The 20,829-nt window shown below is 53.8% G+C and overlaps 1 protein-coding gene across 5 annotated transcripts in view, besides 2 other annotated features; it reads left to right on the top strand.

Annotated features, from left to right (window-relative positions):
- Positions 1-20,829, top strand: part of DNAH17 (dynein axonemal heavy chain 17) — a 153,700-nt gene that overhangs the window by 105,110 nt on the left and 27,761 nt on the right. For 4 of the 5 annotated variants that reach the window (XM_024451013.2, NM_173628.4, XM_011525416.3 and 1 more), the window contains 12 exons: positions 3,404-3,670; positions 5,471-5,632; positions 9,210-9,443; positions 10,579-10,743; positions 12,030-12,125; positions 12,286-12,503; positions 13,079-13,286; positions 13,607-13,722; positions 16,451-16,643; positions 17,582-17,817; positions 18,822-18,944; positions 20,614-20,818. In XM_024451013.2, coding sequence (XP_024306781.1) covers positions 3,404-3,670; positions 5,471-5,632; positions 9,210-9,443; positions 10,579-10,743; positions 12,030-12,125; positions 12,286-12,503; positions 13,079-13,286; positions 13,607-13,722; positions 16,451-16,643; positions 17,582-17,817; positions 18,822-18,944; positions 20,614-20,818 — 2,223 coding nt within the window. Of the gene's footprint in view, positions 1-3,403; positions 3,671-5,470; positions 5,633-9,209; positions 9,444-10,578; positions 10,744-12,029; positions 12,126-12,285; positions 12,504-13,078; positions 13,287-13,606; positions 13,723-16,450; positions 16,644-17,581; positions 17,818-18,821; positions 18,978-20,613; positions 20,819-20,829 lie in introns of those variants that run through there. The other variant, XM_024451014.2, reaches the window with a different exon arrangement.
- Positions 4,426-5,087: an enhancer, noted in NCBI's record as "H3K27ac-H3K4me1 hESC enhancer chr17:76463282-76463943 (GRCh37/hg19 assembly coordinates)". NCBI's record gives its function as "activates a minimal SCP1, AML or CMV promoter by ChIP-STARR-seq in primed H9 embryonic stem cells {active_cell/tissue: H9 hESC(primed)}" and the evidence as "EXISTENCE:reporter gene assay evidence [ECO:0000049][PMID:30033119]".
- Positions 5,751-6,413: an enhancer, noted in NCBI's record as "NANOG-H3K27ac-H3K4me1 hESC enhancer chr17:76461956-76462618 (GRCh37/hg19 assembly coordinates)". NCBI's record gives its function as "activates a minimal SCP1, AML or CMV promoter by ChIP-STARR-seq in naive H9 embryonic stem cells {active_cell/tissue: H9 hESC(naive)}" and the evidence as "EXISTENCE:reporter gene assay evidence [ECO:0000049][PMID:30033119]".

Raw genomic sequence — 20,829 nt, 5'->3', positions numbered from 1 at the left:
AACCCTCGCACCCCTACTCCCTAACCCTAACCCTCGCACCCCTACTCCATAACCCTAATGTCTCACACACCCCCACTCCCAAATCTCGGCTCCGTGTCCTGCCTGTCTACTGCCAGTGGCATTGGCTATGGCAAGGAAAGGCACTGCTGCTGATGTTTTGGCCAAAGAAAGGGAAGCCTGTGCCCCTTATTAATGGCTGGTCCCTAGACGGGCCTAGATACAGGTGACGATTGCCGTCCTTGGCTGACAGTGATGATAGGGACGCAGGCAGATCCAGCTTCAGTAGCACCATGGGGCTCTCAACCAAGATAGGAGGGAGGGTGGGGGAGAACTGCCCTGGGGCCAGGCCCGGAGGAGATGAGATACCTGGGGATGAGGCGGCCATCGCACAGCGGGACACATGGGGCTGGGAAGTGCAGGGATAGGATGCGGGTAGAGATGTGGGGGCCAGCCTCAGCAGCATAAGAGGACGGGAGTGGAGGGGACTGTGCCAGAGAGTGAGCGGGGAAGGTGAGGTGGGGACAGCCCAGCGGTCACAGTGGGCAGGGTAAGGGCCACTCCATATGGGACAGTGTGGCTGTGAAAGCCAGACGGGCCGGGAGCGGTGGCTCAAGCCTGTAATCCTAGCACTTTGAGAGGCCAAGGCAAGGAGGATCCCTTGAGCCCAGGAGGTCGAGGCTGCAATAAGCTATGATCATGCCACTGCTCTCCAGCCTGGGCGACAGAGTGAGGCCCTATCTCTAAAAAAGTAAAGTCAGAAAAAGGAACAAAAAAGGAAAAGATTTCTGGTATGGTCAGTCTCCACCCAATGTCCTTGCTACACTGTGAAATGAGAAGAGTGATTCGTCTTTGACTCAAGGTCATTGCTGGCTCTCACACTACGCTCCTTACCTCGAGGCAGGGTCCAAGGACATAGCCTTGGCTCAAGTCCCACCTGCGGCCCACCTGCTGCCCACCTGCTTTTCCAGGCTCAGAGCTTCCCCTTGCTTTTTCTTAGCTTGTCAAGAGATAGGAGATTTGAGGCTGGCTTCTGACCCCAGTCAGCTCCCAAAGAGGAGGCCTGGTGAGGTTTCTCTGAACAGAGAGATTTCAGGGAGTCGGACTTGCTTCCGAAGGATGGAGCAGCCACTGGGGTGCCTATATGGACACTTTTAAAGCCTCTTCAATAAGTACAGAAGCCCATAGGTCTTGTTTTTTAAATTAAATATTATAGATAAGCAAATCGCCAAAACGCTGGAAATACACATCACTACTTGGATGAAACTGGCAGGCATTTCTGAACATATATATACATGGAAATGGCATATTCAAAAATAACGAGCTATTCCTACTGCTCTGTAAAATGCTTTAAAAAAAACTTTTCATTTATTCTTGCAAAATTCCTATGAAACCATCTTCTCGCCCTGTCCTTAAATCCTGCTGTGGATGACTCTGAAAGGGGGTTGCCTGTTAAGGCTCCCAGTCCAAGCCTGCAGTATATTTATTCAGGGCCTCTTTTAGGGTCTCCATTTAAGATTTTTTTCTTTCCTTTTGCATATGTGGTAAAATATACATAGTATAAAATTGACCATTTTCACTGTTACTTATTTCTTTTCTTTGAGACGGAGTCTCACTCTGTTGCCCAGACTGGAGTGCAATGGCACAATATCGGCTCACTGCAACCTCCACCTCCTGGGTTCAAGCAATTCTCCTGCCTCAGCTTCCCAAGTACCTGGGATTACAGGTGCGTGCCACCACGCCTGGCTAATTGTTGTATTTTTTGTAGAGATGGGGTTTCACCATGTTGGCCAGGTGGTCTCCAACTCCTAACCTCAGGTGATCCACCCTCCTCGGCCTCCCAAAGTGCTGGGATTACAGGTGTGAGCCACCGTGCCCGGCCTGTTTTTTAATTTTTTTTTCTAAGACAAATAGACATTTTCGGCTGGGCACGGTGGCTCATGCCTGTTATCCCAGCACTTTGGGAGGCCGAGGTGGGCAGATCACTTGAGGTCCGGAGTTCAAGACCAGCCTGGCCAACATGGTAAAACCCTGTCTCTACCAAAAATACAAAAATTAGCTGAGCATGGTGGCACATGCCTGTAATCTCTCAGGAGGCTGAGGCAGGAGAACTCCTTGAACCCGGGAGGCGGAGGTTGAAGTGAGCCAAGATCGCGACACTGCACTCCAGCCTGGGCAACAGAGTGAGAGACTGTCTCAAAAAAAAAAAAAAAAAAAAAAGAGTAAGACATTTTCACCACTTTTAACATCTAGTTCGGTGGCATGAAGCACATTCACACTGTTGTGTGACCATCACCACTGTCCCTCTCCAGGACCCTTTCATCTTCCCAAACAGAAGCTCTGTCTCCATTAAACAACTCCCCATTCCCCCAGCCCCGCCCCTGGCAACCTCCATTCTTCTTTCTGTCCCTGACTTTGACTACTTTAGGGACCTCATGTAAGTGGAATCACACGGTATTTGTCCTTTCGTGTCTGGCTTATTTTACTCAGCGTCATGTCCTGAAGGTCTGTCCGTGCTATAGCACGTGTCAGAATTTCCTCCCCTTTTTAAGACCAAATCATATTCCATTGCACAGATGGACCACGTTTTATGTACCTGTTCATGCATGGATGGACACTTGGGTTGTCCTGATGGCTGCTGTGAACCTGGCTGTGCTCTGTTCAAGGTTTTGGGTCTCCTGCACCCTTCTTTTATTCTTTTCCTTAGAGACAAGGTCTTGCTATGTTGCTCAGGCTGGTCTTGAGCTCCTGGCCTCAATTGATCCTCCCACCTTGGCCTCCCAAAGCCCTAGAATTATAAGCATGAGCCACCGCACCTGGCCTGTGTTTCTTAGAAAGTTGTCCCTGTGGGCCGGGCACAGTGGCTCACACCTGTAATCCCAGCACTTTGGGAGGCCGAGGCGGGTGGATCACAAGGTCAAGAGATCGAGGCCCTCCTGGCTAACATAGTGAAACCCTGTCTCTACTTAAAATACAAAAAATTAGCCAGGCGTGGTGGCGGGTGCCTGTAGTCCCAGCTACTCGGGAGGCTGAGGCAGGAGAATGGCGTGAACCTGGGAGGTGGAGCTTGCAGTGAGCCGAGATTGCATCACTGCACTCCAGCCTGGGTGACAGAGCGAGACTCAGTCTCAAAAAAAAAGAAAAAGACAGAAAAAAGAAAGTTGGCCCCATGGCGGCGTGTGCCTGTAATCCCAGTTACTTGGGAGGCTGAGGCAAGAGAATTGCTTGAACCCAGGAGACGGAGGTTGCAGTGAGCCGAGATTGTGCCATTGCACTCCAGCCTGGGCGACAGAGCGAGACTCCGTCTCAAAGAAAAAATGGCCCTGTGCTCTGGTTGGTTGTGGAGGATGTCTCTAATTGAGCATCTTTTTACCAAGGCCCCTAAGCGTGTCCTCACTCCGTCCAGATTGACCTCGCTGCTCAGTACATAAAGGCTGCCGTGAAGAACGTTCCCTCGGTGTTCCTGATGACAGACTCCCAGGTGGCCGAGGAGCAGTTTCTGGTGCTGATCAATGACCTGCTGGCCTCAGGAGAGATCCCTGGGCTGTTTATGGAGGACGAGGTGGAGAACATCATCTCCTCCATGCGACCCCAAGTCAAGTCCCTTGGCATGAATGACACTCGGGAAACATGTTGGAAGTTCTTCATCGAAAAAGTGCGCAGACAGCTCAAGGTGGGGCTCCCGTCTTCGGCAGGGCCTCAAGAGCCCAGCTTGGTGCCCGTGGCCTACAGGGTATGGGTTTTTGCTCTGCATAGAGCAGGAGGACTGATCCTTCATGGGATGTGAAATCCTGTTAGGAGAGTGTGAGGGGTGGGGCTGTCTGATGAACCGGAGCCTGGAGACTTTTTCACGTGGGTCGTTAGAGGTATCTTGGGGCCAAAAGAAATGTTTTACAGTCGTCCTTTGGTATCTGAGGAGGTTGGATTCCAGGACCGCCATGGATACCAGAATCCACGGAGGGATGGATGCTCAAGGGCCCGATATAAAACAGTGTCGTATTTTTGAAGATGCTCCCCTCTACTTTAAATCATCTCTAGATTACTTATAATACCTAATATAATGTAGAATGCTATGTAAATAGTTGTTATACTATATTTTTATTTGTATTATTTTTTATTATTTTTTTTTAACAATTTTCAGTCCATGGTTGGTTAAATCCACAGATGTGGACAGACAACCGACTCTATGTGGACCCCCTCCCCACACACAGCTAGTTTAAGTAGATAAATGCACCTTGATACTCTCTCTCTCTCTCTTTTTTTTTTTTTTTTTGAGATGGAGTTTCACTTGTCGCCCAGGCTGGAGTGCAATGGCGTGATCTTAGCTCACTGCAACCTCTGCCTCCTGGGTTAAAATGATTCTCCAGCCTCAGCTTCCTGAGTAGCTGGGATTACAGGTGCCCACCACCACACCTGGCTAAATTTTTTATTTTTAGTAGAGACAGCATTTCACCATGGTGGCCAGGCTGGTCTTGAACTCCTGACCTCAGGTGATACACCTGCCTCGGCCTCCCAAAGTGCTGCCTGGCCACACCTTGATTTTCGACATCACCTCTAGGGTAAGCAGGCTAAACTCCCCTAGTAGGACAGAGAACCCCTTGGACCTATTGGCCCCGTCCTCTCCAGAGTTCAGTGGTGCTGCCCTTTGCGGGGTGCCAATCCCATAGCTCTCCTGGACACCTGCCGGCCATCGTTTTCCCCTGCTTGACTCAAACAGAGCAGGGTCCTCCCTCCCCTCTGCGGGCTGCATAGCCCAATTAGTGAATGTTATCTGTGAGCCAAAGGCATCCCCTGATAGGTGCTGCCTGCTCCTGGATCCTCTTTGGTGCCCTGCCAGTGCCGGCTCTGTCCTGCACCCTCACGTCATCACGCAGTGAGGGGTGCAAAGTCAGCTAAGCAGTGAGCCACCCCATTCAATGGCAGCGTCCGTGCAACACCTATGCCACGAAAGGGGACTAGAGAGCAAGAGCAGCTGGGAGGCTGAGACCCATTACAAGGGAGGTCCTTATCTAGCCAGAGAGCCCCCCAGGCCTGTCTCCACAGCACCTTCTCCAGCTGGGATCCCAGGGACTCCCTGCCCTTTCTGGGAATTAGCCACTATCCCTCAGGGCCCAGCGGGGACCCTTCCTGCTGAACCGAAGGGCTTGGGAGCCCGGCCCGTTCTGGGGCCTCATCTGCCCAATGTGGATGCCCACTCCCCATTCCTTCCTTTGCCCGGCCTTTTTTAGAGAGGCAAGGGCCCCTTCCAGAGGGATTGGGACTGCTAGCGAGAGGCATGAAGCCAGATGAGCATTTATCCACGGCAATGCAGCGGCCGCCCTTCAAACCCAGAACCAGGACTGTGCTGCCCAGGCCCTGGGCGGCTGAGCCCGGCAGGGCGCGTTGCTTTCTGGCAGAGCTTTCTGCAGAGTGATGGATTAGGCCCCAGCACTGCAGTCCCAGTAGGCAGCGCATCTGTGTCTCCCACACCCAGGTGATCCTGTGTTTCTCCCCTGTGGGCTCCGTGCTGCGGGTACGAGCCAGAAAGTTCCCAGCTGTGGTCAACTGCACGGCCATCGACTGGTTCCACGAGTGGCCGGAAGATGCGCTGGTGTCCGTCAGCGCCCGCTTCCTGGAGGAGACTGAGGGGATTCCGGTGAGTCACTGAGGCCACCTCTGCCTGAGTGTAGAGCCCAGAGGACAAGGACAGGCCCAAGGGCTGGCTCCCTGGGAGAAAAGGGCGCTGGGATTAGGGTGAGCCAAGTGAGGCGTCCGCCTTGGGCTCAACGTTTAAGAGGCTGCCAGAAACTCAGGCATCAAGATAAGTGAGGTTTTATTTTTTATTTTTTATTTTTTTTTAATTTATTTATTTTTTATTGATAATTCTTGGGTGTTTCTCACAGAGGGGGACTTGGCAGGGTCATAGGACAATAGTGGAGGGAAGGTCAGCAGATAAACAAGTGAACAAAGGTCTCTGGTTTTCCTAGGCAGAGGACCCTGAGGCCTTCCGGCCTTCGGCAGTGTTTGTGTCCCTGGGTACTTGAGATTAGGGAGTGGTGATGACTCTTAACGAGCATGCTGCCTTCAAGCATCTGTTTAACAAAGCACATCTTGCACCGCCCTTAATCCATTCAACCCTGAGTGGACACAGCACATGTTTCAGAGAGCACAGGGCTGGGGGTAAGGTCACAGATCAACAGGATCCCAAGGCAGAAGAAGTTTTCTTAGTACAGAACAAAATGAAAAGTCTCCCATGTCTACTTCTTTCTACACAGACACGGCAACCATCCGATTTCTCAATCCCTTCCCCACCCCTCCCGCCTCTCCATTCCACAAAGCCGCCACTGTCATCCTGGCCCGCTCTCAATGAGCTGCTGGGCACACCTCCCAGACGGGGTGGTGGCCGGGCAGAGGGGCTCCTCACTTCCCAGTAGGGGCGGCTGGGCAGAGGCGCCCCTCACCTCCCGGACGGGGCGGCTGGCCGGGCGGGGGGCTGACCCCCCACCTCCCTCCTGGACGGGGCGGCTGGCCTGGCGGGGGCTGACCGCCCCCACCTCCCTCCCGGACGGGGTGGCTGCCGGGCGGAGAGGCTCCTCACTTCTCAGACGGGGCGGTTGCCGGGCAGAGGGTCTCCTCACTTCTCAGACGGGGCGGCCAGGCAGAGACGCTCCTCACCTCCCAGACGGGGTCTCGGCCGGGCAGAGGCGCTCCTCACATCCCAGATGGGGCGGCGGGGCAGAGGCGCTCCCCACATCTCAGACGATGGGCGGCCGGGCAGAGACGCTCCTCACTTCCTAGATGTGATGGCGGCCGGGAAGAGGTGTTCCTCACTTCCTAGGTGGGATGGCAGCCGGGCGGAGACGCTCCTCACTTTCCAGACTGGGCAGCCAGGCAGAGGGGCTCCTCACATCCCAGATGATGGGCGGCCAGGCAGAGACGCTCCTCACTTCCCAGACGGGGTGGCGGCCGGGCAGAGGCTGCAATCTCGGCACCTTGGGAGGCCAAGGCAGGCAGCTGGGAGGTGGAGGTTGTAGCGAGCCGAGATCACGCCACTGCACTCCAGCCTGGGCACCATTGAGCACTGAGTGAATGAGACTCCGTCTGCAATCCCGGCACCTCGGGAGGCCGAGGCTGGCGGATCACTTGCGGTTAGGGGCTGGAGACTGGCCTGGGCAACACAGCGAAACCCCGTCTCCACCAAAACCAGTCAGGCGTGGCGGCGCGAGCCTGCAATCGCAGGCACTGGGCAGGCTGAGTCAGGAGAATCAGGCAGGGAGGCTGCAGCGAGCCGAGATGGCAGCAGCACAGTCCAGCCTCGGCTCAGCATGAGAGGGAGACCGTGGGGAGAGGGAGAGGGAGAGCGATAAGTGAGGTTTTAATGTAATATTTTTGAAAATCAAATTAGCGCTAAAAAATTCATGATGAACAAATCATCAGAATTGTAAACCAAGGTGGGCTGTTGGGTTTTTTTGTTTCATTGTCCTGCAATCCTGTGCCAGGGAGGGGTGGTTTCCAATCAGCCCCGGCGCAGCCAAGGCTCCAGGGCCAGTTCAGGAAGGCTGAGGACATGCAGCGTGCGGACAGATCGGGCGACTCAGGCTTTCTGCCTTGCCTCGAGCACTTGGCTGGAAAGCCTGTATTTGCTGGAATAAGTATACACAAGGGCACACACCATTGCCTTGTGCACCTCAGAGGAAAGACGGGTCCGACATTCTCTTGCAGTCTCTTTTCATTGAAAGATGGTGCCGAGGGCTGGGGGCAGTGGCTCACGCCTATAATCCCAGCACTTTGGGGGGCCAAAGCGGGCAGATCACTTGAGGTCAGGAGTTCGAGATCAGCCTGGCCAACATGGTGAAACCCCATCTCTACCAAAAATATAAAAAATTAGCCGGGTGTGGTGGTGCATGCCTGTAATCCTAGCTACTCCAGAGGCTAAGGCAGGAGAATCACTTGAACCCGGGAGGCGGAAGTTTCAGTAAGCCAAGATTGTGCCACTGCACTCTAGCCTGGGCAATAGAGCAAGACTCCATCTCAAAAAAACAAAAAACAGTGAAAGATGGCGCCCATGTTCACTGTTTGAGCTCAATGCTTGCCTGGAAATTACCCATAAACCCTGGCTCACTTTTGACCAACTCAGTAGGGGGGATGAGCAGCCCTTGGAATAAACCTCCCTTTATTACCATCTCTTGTTTCTTTTGAACACATATCCAGTTATTAAGTAGGACAGAATAAACCTGAAACTAGCTTCTCTTTTTCCTAGTTTTTAAAGATGGGAAAAAGAGCCTACTTGCCATTAGAGCATTCATTTATGAGACTGGCCACTCCCAGGAACTCTGCAGTTCAAAGGTGTCCCTTGGAGCATAGATTTGGGTTTCTAGTTCCCAAGGCAGAGACTTCCTAGAAACAGGCATTGGCCCCACCACCAGCACTATATATATATACCCTGAAATGTCTGTGTTGGATGAATTCATTACTTTTCAAAATGTCCTGAATTAAAATTAACATTGCTGAGACAATTTCTGGGGCAAAGCTCCCAGTGCCTGCGTTCAGGTAGGTGGGCAGGCCCAGAGGGCTGGGGAAAGAAGTTCTAAATCCCAGGACCCAGCCTTGGTAATGAACAATAAATATTTGCAGAATTACCTGGGATATGAAAACACATTCTCAGCCTTGTACTTTTTCAGGTATGCAGGTATGTGAATGCACATGCACGTGCATATAGGCAGGTATGTGAATGTGTGTGCATGTGTATATGTGCAGGTATGTGAATGCATGTGCACGTGTACATATGCAGGTATGTGAATGCATATGCACGTGTATATATACAGGTATGTGAATGCGTATGCACGTGTATATATACAGGTATGTGAATGCGTATGCACGTGTATATATGCAGGTATGTGAATGCGTGTGCACGCGTATATATGCAGGTATGTGAATGTGCACATATACGTGTGTGTGTATGCATGTGTGTGCATGTATGCGTCTGTGTGTCAGAGATAATGATAATAAGCTCTGCTGTGTCCTGTGCGCTGAGCTAAACCCTTCCATGGTGCAGTGCTCACAAGGGCCCCAGGATCTGTTGCTCTCAGGAGCCCCTTTGGGCAGTTGAAGACACTGAGGTTGAGAGCGGTCTCAGGGCACCTTGTCCAGGGCCCCTGGTGAGTCTGGGGAGCCCCACTTTGCTGATTTGCAGGATGGGGTCCCAGGGATGACTGGCTGTCTCATCTTTGTAGTGGGAAGTCAAGGCCTCCATCAGCTTCTTCATGTCCTACGTGCACACCACCGTCAACGAGATGTCCAGGGTATACCTGGCTACTGAGAGGCGCTACAACTACACCACACCCAAAACCTTTCTGGAGCAGATCAAACTGTACCAGAACCTGCTGGCCAAGAAGAGAACGGAACTTGTTGCCAAAATCGAGAGGCTGGAGAACGGCCTGATGAAGCTGCAGAGCACGGCTTCCCAGGTAGGAGAGGGGGGCTGGCTGCCAGCTCCTGTGCCGTTCCCTGGAGGCCTCGCAGGAGCTGCTACTGTCACAGGCATCCACGGGCTGGTCACACTGGGGCTCAGCACTGCCTAAAGTAAGATGAGCACGCTTCCTGCCTTTGAGAAGCATTTACTCCTAGGCCAGAGTTAGTATACTTGTCGTAACAAAAAACAGACTCAAAATGCTTTCACAATGTTGATTGTATGGAGGGCGCATTACACAGGGGATGGCACCTGCCCCATGTCGGGTGAGATTTGATCATCATGCCCAATGCAGTCAATACAAATGCATTTGTTCATTCGTAAATACCATTCATACCATGGGGCCTGGCTCAAAAACCTCCCTGGATCCTTTCCTCCACACCGTATGGATCTTGAAGGGTTCTGCCTGCTTCAGACCTCCTCCATCGTGCAGTCCCGGCTCCTTCATCTTTATTGCCCACCATTGACACCCTGTGAGGGGGCCTGAAAATAGCTGCCACCTCCCTGCTGGAGTTGTGAACAGACTGGGACCTCCCACTTGCTTCCAGGGGAGCTTTCGCACCCCTGCCCCCACCCCCCCACCCCCCTACCAAACTCTCGCTGTCACTCTCCCACCAGCCTGGAGGGGCCCTGGCCAGCCCTGCTCGGCACTGCAACTCACTTGGCATTTGAGACAGAGTCTCGCTCTGTCATCCAAGCTGGGATGCAGTGGTGCGATCGTGGCTCACTGCAGCCTGGACTTCCTGGGCTCAAGTGATCCTCCCACCTCAGCCTCCCAGGTAGCTGGGACCATGGGCACAGGCCACCATGCCTTGCTAATTTTTTTTATTATTTATACAGACAGGGTCTCACTCGGTTGCCCAGGCTGCAGTTGATATGTTTCTATTCAGTCACCTTGCCAACTCCTTTGAGCACCAGGAATGTCTCATACTTGTGACCCTGTGTACGCAGTCAGGGTTTATAACTTACTTTTAAGATATTGAAAAGACTCTCCAAAACGAGTCACTGGGAGTCGTAAGACACGGCCCTGCCGTTCTGCCCCTCTGTGGCTCCCAGCCCTCGTCTGCCCAGTGCAGGGCGGCGTGTGTCGGCTGCGGCCCACACTTGCTGTTTCTCGGTTTCTCCTTCCCCAGGTGGATGATTTGAAAGCCAAGTTGGCGATTCAGGAGGCTGAGCTCAAGCAGAAGAATGAGAGCGCAGACCAACTGATCCAGGTGGTCGGCATCGAGGCCGAGAAGGTCAGCAAAGAGAAGGCCATTGCTGACCAGGAAGAAGTCAAGGTCGAGGTCATCAATAAGGTAGGTGAAGGCAGCCCAGCGTGCCTTCAGGAAGGCTGCTGCACTGGCCAGGCCTCCTGGGCTTCCACGTGTGGTCAGGTGCCACCGACAGGCGTGGGAAAGGCTGAGACTTACATAGAAGGACAAGGTTCCTAAACCAGTGGGACCCCCGAAGGAGTCTCTCCCAGGGGAGGGCCCCCGCTCAGAAGCAGGCTTTCCTTAGAAAACTCCCATCCCGTGGCCGAGCTCCTCCATGTTCAGCCCCCAGCCTACAGCGGCAGCCTCACCAGAAGCTTGTGAGAAATGCAGGCTCTCGGGCTCCAGCTCAGCTCTGCTCAATGGGGCCTGCATGGTAACGAAATGCCCGCGATCCGTGAGCATGGGAGGGGTTGAGAAGACCTCACTGGAGCCTGGTCCTCAGACGTGCGGCTCCGGGCCCCCCCCGAGAGGGTAGGACGTTACTGGCCTGGGGGTGGGCTCCTTGCTGGTTGGGGGTGGCTGAGGTTGAGAACCACGGCTTAGCGGGAGCGTCTTCATCATCTTTGGAGCCTGAAGGTTACAGCATCATTGGAGCAGCTTCTCATGACCCCTCCCTGGGTGCTTTTTTTGTCATCAGTCCTACATCTGTGTAATTATTGAAGAGCGTTCCAGTCATGGCCCACTGTCTCCTGAGTGAATGAATGAGTATGTACATGAATGAAGGAGGTGCTACTTTCTTAGAGGGGTGTGAGCTATACACTCTGAGACGTTCCATTTTGGATGGATTATGAAACAGCCCCAGAAACAATAAGACTGCAAAGTCAAGGCGGTCTCAGTGGCCCCCGGATTTCCCCTCCAGTCTTGGAAGCTCAAGCCGATAGAAGGAACAGTTCCCATTCCAGAATCCCACCCAACTGTCGAGGCATTGCTCATTCTGACCTGAGCGTTGTGGGGCAGAGTAGAGGCGTCAGGGAGGAAGGTGGGCTCCAGACAGGGGCCAAGCACACACACAGGGATGTCGGCAAAGGAGCACATTCAGCAAATACAGCAAATGAGTGGTGGCCGGAGGGGCAGCCTCTCTTATGGAGCTCAGACCTGCTGGGGCCTGGGCCGCCCCTCACCACTGCTGCCTACACATGCACATATGCACATGGATGCACATACACATACATGCACACACATACACTCATGCACATATATGCACACATACACTCATGCACGTGCATACATGCACACACATGCACACACATGCACACACATGCACGTACACGCCCCCACAGGCACATGGACAGGCCTGCAGTAACCTCTCCTGTCCATCTTCCTTCCAGAACGTCACTGAGAAGCAAAAGGCCTGTGAAACAGACCTGGCCAAAGCAGAACCGGCCCTGCTGGCAGCCCAGGAGGCTCTGGACACTCTGAATAAGGTAAAGGGGGAGGGAAAGAAAGGGGACCCCTGGCCTGGTTGGAGAGGAAGCTGCCTTCGCTGTTGGCGTGGGTGGTGACACACTCATGGCGGCTTCTTCGGGGCATCACCGAGGACCCGGTCCAAACTCCCATCGGACCCATCCCGTCTGTCATTTGCAGAACAACCTGACAGAGCTGAAGTCCTTTGGGTCCCCGCCGGATGCTGTGGTCAACGTCACCGCCGCCGTCATGATTCTGACCGCACCTGGGGGCAAGATCCCCAAGGACAAGAGCTGGAAGGCGGCCAAGATCATGATGGGCAAGGTGGACACCTTCCTAGACTCCCTGAAGAAGTTCGACAAGGAGCACATCCCTGAGGCCTGCCTGAAGGCCTTCAAGTGAGTCGGGGCTGGGCCTCGTAGCCGGGGCTTCCCTCCGATTCTCCATCAGGCCAAGGCACGATGCTGAGGTGAAGCATGGCCTCAGGCTCTTGGGGCCTGTGGCTCAAAATCTAGGCAGCCCCTTCCCCATACAGCACCCCAAGAACACAGCTGACAAGCTCAGCAGCGGGAACCTTCAGGCTACAGGTCTGAGAGAGAGGCCAGCCAGGCCCCACAGAGGTCAGCAGCACCTGTGAGAGCAGCTGACCACACGAGCACATGCATTGCACACACGAATACCGTCCCCAAAATGTAACACCTGCCACGTCATCTCGTCTGCATCTCATCCCTCTAACCTTATAGTTTCAGTCTCCTGGTGCCCGACTTGGAAAACTGGGCAATGCCACTGTGGGGTAATGGGAGTGGGAGAGCAGAGCCGGTGGGGGGTGGCCTCTAGGGCCAGCCTGACTGTGTGAATCCCAGCGCTGCCCCTCCAGAGCTGTGCCACCCTGGGCAAGACACTCAGCTTCTCTGGGCCCGTTTTGCCAGAGCAGGACAGGGTGACGACTCCGGCCCTCTGGTTCCCTCGCTAGGCCCTACCAAGGCAACCCGACGTTCGACCCCGAGTTCATCCGCTCCAAGTCCACGGCCGCCGCCGGCCTGTGCTCCTGGTGCATCAACATCGTCCGCTTCTACGAGGTCTACTGCGACGTGGCGCCCAAGAGGCAGGCACTGGAGGAGGCTAATGCAGAGCTGGCAGAGGCACAAGAGAAGCTGTCCCGGATCAAAAACAAGATTGCCGTAAGTGCCGGCTCGCTCCCGTCCCTGCGAAACACCAGAGCCGCTTGCTCGCGCTGCCAGTCAATACCTCTGTTGAAAATGGGTTGGCACGGCCCGCCGTCATGAATTATTCAGCAGTGCAAGAGGATGCAGGCAGAGGCAGGGGCCAGATGGTGCCGGGAGCCGCTTGGTGTCCTTAGCCTCCATGCTCCAGAGGGCTCTCAGCCTTTGTGGGAGCCTCTTCCACGCTCAGCGCTCACAGGGCCCAGCCCTGCTGCCGCTGCAGGGGGCTAGAGATGCCTCGTGGGGTTTTCCAGCAGCTTTCCAACTTGGTTTTGCAGGAACTTAACGCCAACCTGAGCAACCTAACCTCAGCGTTTGAAAAAGCAACAGCTGAGAAAATCAAGTGTCAGCAAGAGGCCGATGCCACGAACAGGGTGATCTTACTGGCGAACAGGTATCAGCTCCTCCCCGAGACCACCCTCCTGCTCTCAGACCCCCTGAAAGGGACAAGCCCACACAACTGCCTTGGGAGGAAGAGGAGGGAGCCCAGGTGGAAGCAGCCAGGTTGCCACTTTCACTTCTTGAGCTCAAAGTAATTAGGATAAAACTTGGCCTCTTGCATAGTCAGTGGCCTCCACAAAATATGCCCTGTCGCGTGGTTCCAAGTAACCCACACTGGCCTGGGACACTGGGTCCCACGGGGCTTGATCCGGGGCATTACTCGGTCATAACCCACTTTCAGCCACCACGTGGCTTCCAGGATCCTTTCGCAGCCAGTGGACAGTCATTTCACGGATTACATCATGGTTTGGGGCTCCAGAGTAGCGTCGTCCACTAGGGATATAATGCCAGGTGCCAGATGTGGATGTGTCACCTTAACTTTTCCAGCAGCCACATTTAAAAAGTACAGAGGCTGGCTGGGCACAGTGGCTCACGCCTGTAATCCCAGCAGTTTGGGAGGCCGAGGCAGGCGGATCACTGGAGGTCAGGAGTTCGAGACCAGCCTGGCCAATATGACGAAACCCCATCTTACTAAAAATACAAAAATTAGCCAGACTAGCTGGGCGCAGTGGCTCACGCCTGTAATCCCAGCACTTTGGGAGGCCAAGGTGGGTGGATCACCTGAGAACAGGGGTTCGAGAGCAGCCTGGCCAACATGGTAAAACCCTGTCTCTACTAAAAATACAAAAATTAGCTGGGTGTGGTGGCAGTCGCCTGTTATCCCAGCTATTTGGGAGGCTGAGGGAGGAGAATCACCTGAACCCAGGAGGCGGAGGTTGCAGTGAGCCGAGATCGCGCCATTGTACTCCAGCCTGGGTGACAAGAGTAAAACTGTCTAAAAAAAAAAAAAAAAAAAAAAAGCCAGGCACGGCTGTGCGCACCTGTAGTCCCAGCACTTGGAGGGCTGAGGTGGGAGTTTGAAACCAGCCTGAGCAACATAGTGACACCCCATCTCTACAAAAAAATTTTTTAAGTACAAAGAAACAGTTATAATTTTATTTAACCCCAAATATCCAAAATATTATTTCAACACGTAACTAATATAAAAATTATCAATGAGGTATTTCCTGTGCTTGTTTTCATCCTGAGCCCTGACACCCTGCATGTCTTTTTTTGTTTTTTTGTTTTGTTTTGTTTTGTTTTGGAGACAGGGGAGTCTCACTCCGTCACCCAGGCTGCAGTACAGTGGCACGATCTTGGCTCACTGCAACCTCCATCTCCCGGGTTCAAGTAGTTCTTCTGCCTCAGTCTCCCAAGTAGATGGGACCACAGATGCGTGCCACCACACCCGGCTAATTTTTGTATTTTTAGTAGAGACAGGGTTTCACCATGTTGGCCGGGGTGGTCTCGAACTCCTGACCTCAGGTGATCCACCTGCCTCGGCCTCCCAAAGTGCTGGGATTACAGGCGTGAGCCACCACGCCCGGCCCCTTCATGCCTTTTAACACAGAGCACATCTCAGAGCAGACCTGCCGTGGTCCCAGTGTTTGGGAGCCCCAGGGCTGGCAGCTGCCTGCTGAACAACAGGGGAGTGTGCCTTTCCTGTTCTCACAGGGGAGCACCCGGAGCCTCAGCAGAGCCTGGGGCTGAGTCTGTTCCAGGCCTGCAAGCTGTGTTTTCTCCTCCCAAGTGGGTGGCTGCCACTGATGGGCCAGTTGTCAGCTGTGAGTGCCCCAGGCTGCATGAGGCTGGTCTTCAGGGTGGTGCCCCGGGTATGAGGGATTTAACCTCACCTGCCAAATCGAAATGGTCTCTAGGTCACTGGGAAGTAAGGGCTGCTCAGATGGTGCCACAGACAGACCCTCAGTGGCTCTAACAGGCAACCTGGACTTGCAACAAACATGCCAACACTTTCAGACCCGTGGTGTGCCTCTGAGGGTTAGGGACCAGTCCTCAAGATGGTGGCCCGAGAAGCACGAGGCGCATCGTGGAGTCCCCATTCCATGCAGGGCCAGGTGCCTTCTGGATGCCACATTGTTCTGTGGCCACCGTGGTCCTCACCCGGGCTCTGTCACCAGCTGGTCGAGACAGTGCTCTGTGGTATCTGGCAGCATCTTCAGCACAGGAGAGAGGCAATCAAATGGCATCAGCCATAGCCGGGTGTCAATGTGGGCAACTTGGGTGTCAATGCGGGTGACTTGGGAAGAGGAAACACAGCATTCCTAAGGGCTGCCAAGGAGTTTTTTGTTTGTTTTATTTTTTGTTTTTGTTTTTGTTTTGAGATGAAGTCTTGCTCTGTTACCCAGGCTGGAATGCAGTGGCCCAATCTCGGCTCCCTGCAACCTCCGCCTCCCGGGTTCAAGCAATTCTCCCGCCTCGGCTTCTTGAATAGCTGGGATTACAGGCATGGGCCACCACGCCTGGCTAATTTTTGTATTTTTAGTAGAGACGGGGTTTCACCATATTGGCCAGGCTGGTATCGACCCCCTGACCTCAAGTGATCCACCCGCCTCAGCCTCCCAAAGTGCTGGGATTGCAGGCATGACCACCACGCCCGGCCACAAAGCATGATTCGGGCTTCTCTAAAGCATTTCCTCCCAAAAGCATTTTCATCATTGAGCCACTGAGCCAGGTGCAGACGGGAAACTCTGAAGATTCACAGAGGTGCAGAGGTGGAGGCTTGTCTGGTCCAGTCCCCTCACTTGTGCAAATATGTTTTATTCTCTCTCATCCCACTTTAGGCTGGTCGGGGGATTAGCATCGGAAAACATCCGCTGGGCTGAGTCTGTGGAGAACTTCAGGAGCCAGGGGGTCACGCTGTGTGGGGACGTCCTGCTCATCTCTGCCTTCGTGTCCTACGTGGGCTACTTCACCAAGAAATACCGGAATGAGCTGATGGAGAAATTCTGGATCCCTTACATACATAACTTAAAGGTAAGGAGTGGAGTCCTGGCCAGGCGCGGTGGCTCACGCCTGTAATGCCAGCACTTTGGGAGGCCGAGGCGGGCGGATTACTTGAGGCCAGGAGTTCATGAGCAGCCTGGCCAACATGGTGAAACCCCATCTCTATTAAATTTAAAAAAAAATTAGCCAGGCTTGGTGGGGGGCGCCTTAATCCCAGCTACTGGGGAGGCTGAGGCAGGAGAATCACTTGAACCTTGGAGGCGGAGGTTGCAGTGAGCAGAGATCACACTACTGCATTCCAACCTGGACGACACAGCGAGACCCCATCTTAAAAAAAAAAAAATGGAGTCCTACTCATCACTCGGGAAATGTGGGGAGGTCCCAGCAGGGCAGAACCAGCCACATGGCACCTTGACTTCCGTGATGAGGCTCAGGCCCCTTTGGGGATGAGAATGTGGCCCAGTGGCATTGCATGGTGGCTCACGCCTGTAATCCCAGCACTTTGGGAGGCTGAGGCAGGCAGATCACCTGAGGTCAGGAGTTCAAAACCAACCTGGCCAACATGGTGAAACCTCGTCTCTACTAAAACTACGAAAATTAGCTGGGCATGGTGGCGGGCACCTGTAATCCCAACTACCCAGAAGGCCAAGGCAGGAGAATCTCTTGAACTCGAGAGACAGAGGTTACGGTGGGCCAAGATCACACCACTGCACTCCAGCCTGGGTGACAGAGTGAGACTCTGTCAGGGGAAAAAAAAAACGTGGCCCGGTGTTGCTGTGCTGACATCGTTTCTGGCCGAGTTACAAAGCTGCTCTGTCCAGAGTGATGGAAATGGCTGGCTTCTCCCAGGTCGTCCTGCTGGTCCACCCCTAACCGCAGCACCAGACAGAGCATTATTTGGAGAGCTATTTTCTAGTAAGTAATAAGGTCGCATTACCCCCTCTAAGAAAGTGTGCCTCCCTGGGCAGGTCCCCATCCCGATCACGAATGGCCTGGATCCCTTGAGCCTGCTGACAGATGACGCGGACGTGGCCACCTGGAACAACCAGGGCCTCCCCAGCGACCGCATGTCCACCGAGAATGCCACCATCCTGGGCAACACCGAGCGGTGGCCGCTGATCGTGGACGCCCAGCTCCAAGGAATCAAGTGGATCAAAAACAAATACAGGAGTGAACTGAAAGCCATCCGCCTGGGACAGAAGAGGTGTGTGCGGGCGCAGGACCTGGGCCGAAGCCCGGCTCTGCTTGGAAGCACGCCTTAGGCATTCCATATTGGTTCAATGGATGGGTGGGTCTTTCAATACAAGTACTAGCCCACAGGTTTTAAATCTGGCCTGGGGAACAGCAGCAGTAGTAAAGAATGAAATGAGGAGCTCTTTTCCCTTCCCCTGTCCCCATCACCTGCTGCTCCTGCAGGGAAAGGAGAGTGAGACGGAGGCTCAGGCCTGGGGTTGCCTCCCGCTTGGCCATTTGCTGGCTGGGAGGTTTGAGGCTGGTCATGTTCCTGGGTCTCGTGGTCTGTATTCTCATCACAGTTGAGAAACAATGGCTATAACGACACAGGTACAGTGATGCCCTGCTTCCTAGCGGTGCTGGAAAATCCAATGGCGGGTGGATATGAAAACATTTGTCTCTGTGGCCATAAAGCTACTCAAAGCTGCTTCCAGCCCGGGTGTGGTGGCTCGTACCTGTAATCTCAGCACTCTGGGAGGCTGAGGAAGGAGGATCGCTTGAGCTCAGGAGTTTGAGCCCAGCCTGTGCAACATAGTGAGACCTTGTCTCTCCAACAAAAAACAAAAAACAAACAAACAAAAAAAACCTAGTTGGGTGTGGTGGCATGAGCCTGTAGTCCCAGCTACTCAGGAGGCTGCGATGGGAGGATCACTTGAGCCTGGGAGGTCAAGGTTGCAGTGAACCCTGCTCATGCCACTGCACTCCAGCCTGGGCCAGAGAATGAGACCCTGTCTCAAAAAGCAAAACTGTTTCCATTTTCATCTCCACTCCCATAAGAGCACGGGGGCAGTTTACAAAGAAGCCCCTCGGCTCCTTTCAGGAAAGGGCGAGCTGTTGGGAACAAGTTGTGGGCTCCTAGGTCACCCCTCGCTTGGCGCTGTCTCGCTCAGAGGGCAGGGGCTGCTGGTCGGAGCGTGCGCACCGTTCCATCACGAGGCCCTCTGCCATGAACCAGCTTCCGTGTTGTGCCCGCAGCTACCTGGATGTCATCGAGCAGGCCATCTCGGAAGGGGACACCTTGCTCATTGAGAACATCGGCGAAACCGTGGACCCCGTGCTGGACCCTCTACTGGGCAGGAACACGATTAAAAAGGGAAAGTGAGTTGTTTCCGCCTCCGTGGCTTGAGCCAGGTAAACATCTTCAGGCCCGAGGCCTGGGCGTGTGCATGTAGAGAAAACGCCCGGAATTTCCTTTGCTTCCCTGGTAAGCAGCAAGGGCTTTGACAAAGTGCCTGCTGGTGGGAAGGAACCCCCAGCTCCTGAGGAAAGACTGGAAAGAGGGGCCACTTCCCAATTAGGAATATCTCCGCCAACATTTTATCAGTGATGGCCTCCAGATGGGGAGGCTTGAAGGTGATGTCTGTCTTCATTCTGTTCTTAGGCATTTTGCAAATCTTGGGACTGCATTACCTTTAAAAATTCACATAACGTAAAATTAACCACATTAAAATACACAATTGAGCATTTGGTACACTCACGATGTTGTACAAACACATCTGTCCAGTTGCACATTTTCACCACCCCGAAAGGAAGCCCTGTACCCACTCTTCTTCATTCCCCTCCCTCCTGAGCCCTAACATCCACTACTCTGCTCTCTGTGTCTGTGGATTTGCCTATTCTGGACATTTCCTCTGAAGAGAATCAAGCAACATGTGTCTTTTTGTGTCTGGCTCTTTTTACTCAGCATTTTTTGTTTGTTTTTTGAGATGGAGTCTCGCTCTGTCGTCCAGGCTGGAGTCCAGTGGTACGATCTCTGCTCACTGCAGCCTCTGCCTCCTGGGTTCAAGTGATTCTCCTGCCTCAGCCTCCCAAGTAGCTGGGATTACAGGAACACACCAACGTGCCCAGCTAATTTTTGTATTTTTAGTAGAGACGGGGTTTCCCCATGTTGGCCAGGATGATCTCGAACTCCTGACCTCAGGTGATCCACCTGCCTCGGCCTCCCCAAGTGCTGGGATTACAGGCGGGAGCCACCGCGCCCGGCCTTTACTTAGCATGTTTTTTGGGGTCATGCACGTGGTCGCATGTGTCAGTCCTTCATTCCTCTTGATGGCAGAATCATTTTCCACGTGTGGCCGGGCGCATTGTGTTTGTCCACTCATCAGCTGATGCGTGGAGCTTGCATTATTCATTTTACAATTTTAAAAAATTAAATCTACTTTAAAAATGTAAATGTCAGAGCTGACAGGAGCCACCTTTAAATGCAGAGATGCATGCAGAAACCCAGAACCCAGGAGGTGGCAAATCAATATGCAGAGGTCCTAGACTCTGGGAGGGGCCTGGTGTGAGTGCTGAGGGGTGAAGCTAGCCAGAGGCCCCTCAAAGTGAGCCCAGCTACAAAGAGGGGACAGCAGGGTGTAGAGCCGGAGAGAAGCGCCCCCCACAGTGGATGAGCAGACCCAGGGTTGCAGTCCTGGGAGCTTCCAGAATGGACGAATGTTGTAAATGAGTCTGGGTGGAGGCCAAGCAGAAGGTTTCGGTCAGGGCTCCCAGGGGAGGACAGAGTATCGCCAGAGGGGTGTAAACCCTGCTGCAAAGATGAGCCTGATCACCCAAGGAAAGAGCAGGTGCATCTCCCAGAAGGGCCCACGTCACAGGCCAGGGAGGAGGAACAGACAAGGAGAGGTGCAGTGCTCTTCCAGGGACCAGAAGGGAGGGTTCAAGGTGGCGGCCTGGCCTGGGGCTGGGGTGAAAGGTGGTCTGTACTTGTGTTCCTCTCCCCTGGTCACTGGGAGGCCCACTAACCCTTTCCTCCACCAACCGCCAGGTACATTAAGATCGGTGACAAGGAGGTGGAGTACCACCCCAAGTTCCGCCTGATCCTACACACCAAGTACTTCAACCCACACTACAAGCCAGAGATGCAGGCTCAGTGCACCCTCATCAACTTCCTGGTCACCAGGGATGGACTCGAGGACCAACTCTTGGCCGCTGTGGTGGCCAAAGAGCGCCCAGATCTGGAACAGCTGAAGGTAATGGCCTG

The sequence above is a fragment of the Homo sapiens genome, chromosome 17, assembly GCF_000001405.40.
Source record: "Homo sapiens chromosome 17, GRCh38.p14 Primary Assembly".
Classification (NCBI taxonomy): Eukaryota; Metazoa; Chordata; class Mammalia; order Primates; family Hominidae; genus Homo; species Homo sapiens.
Note: the sequence above shows the minus strand (reverse complement) of the source record. Positions and strands in the feature narration are given on the sequence as shown.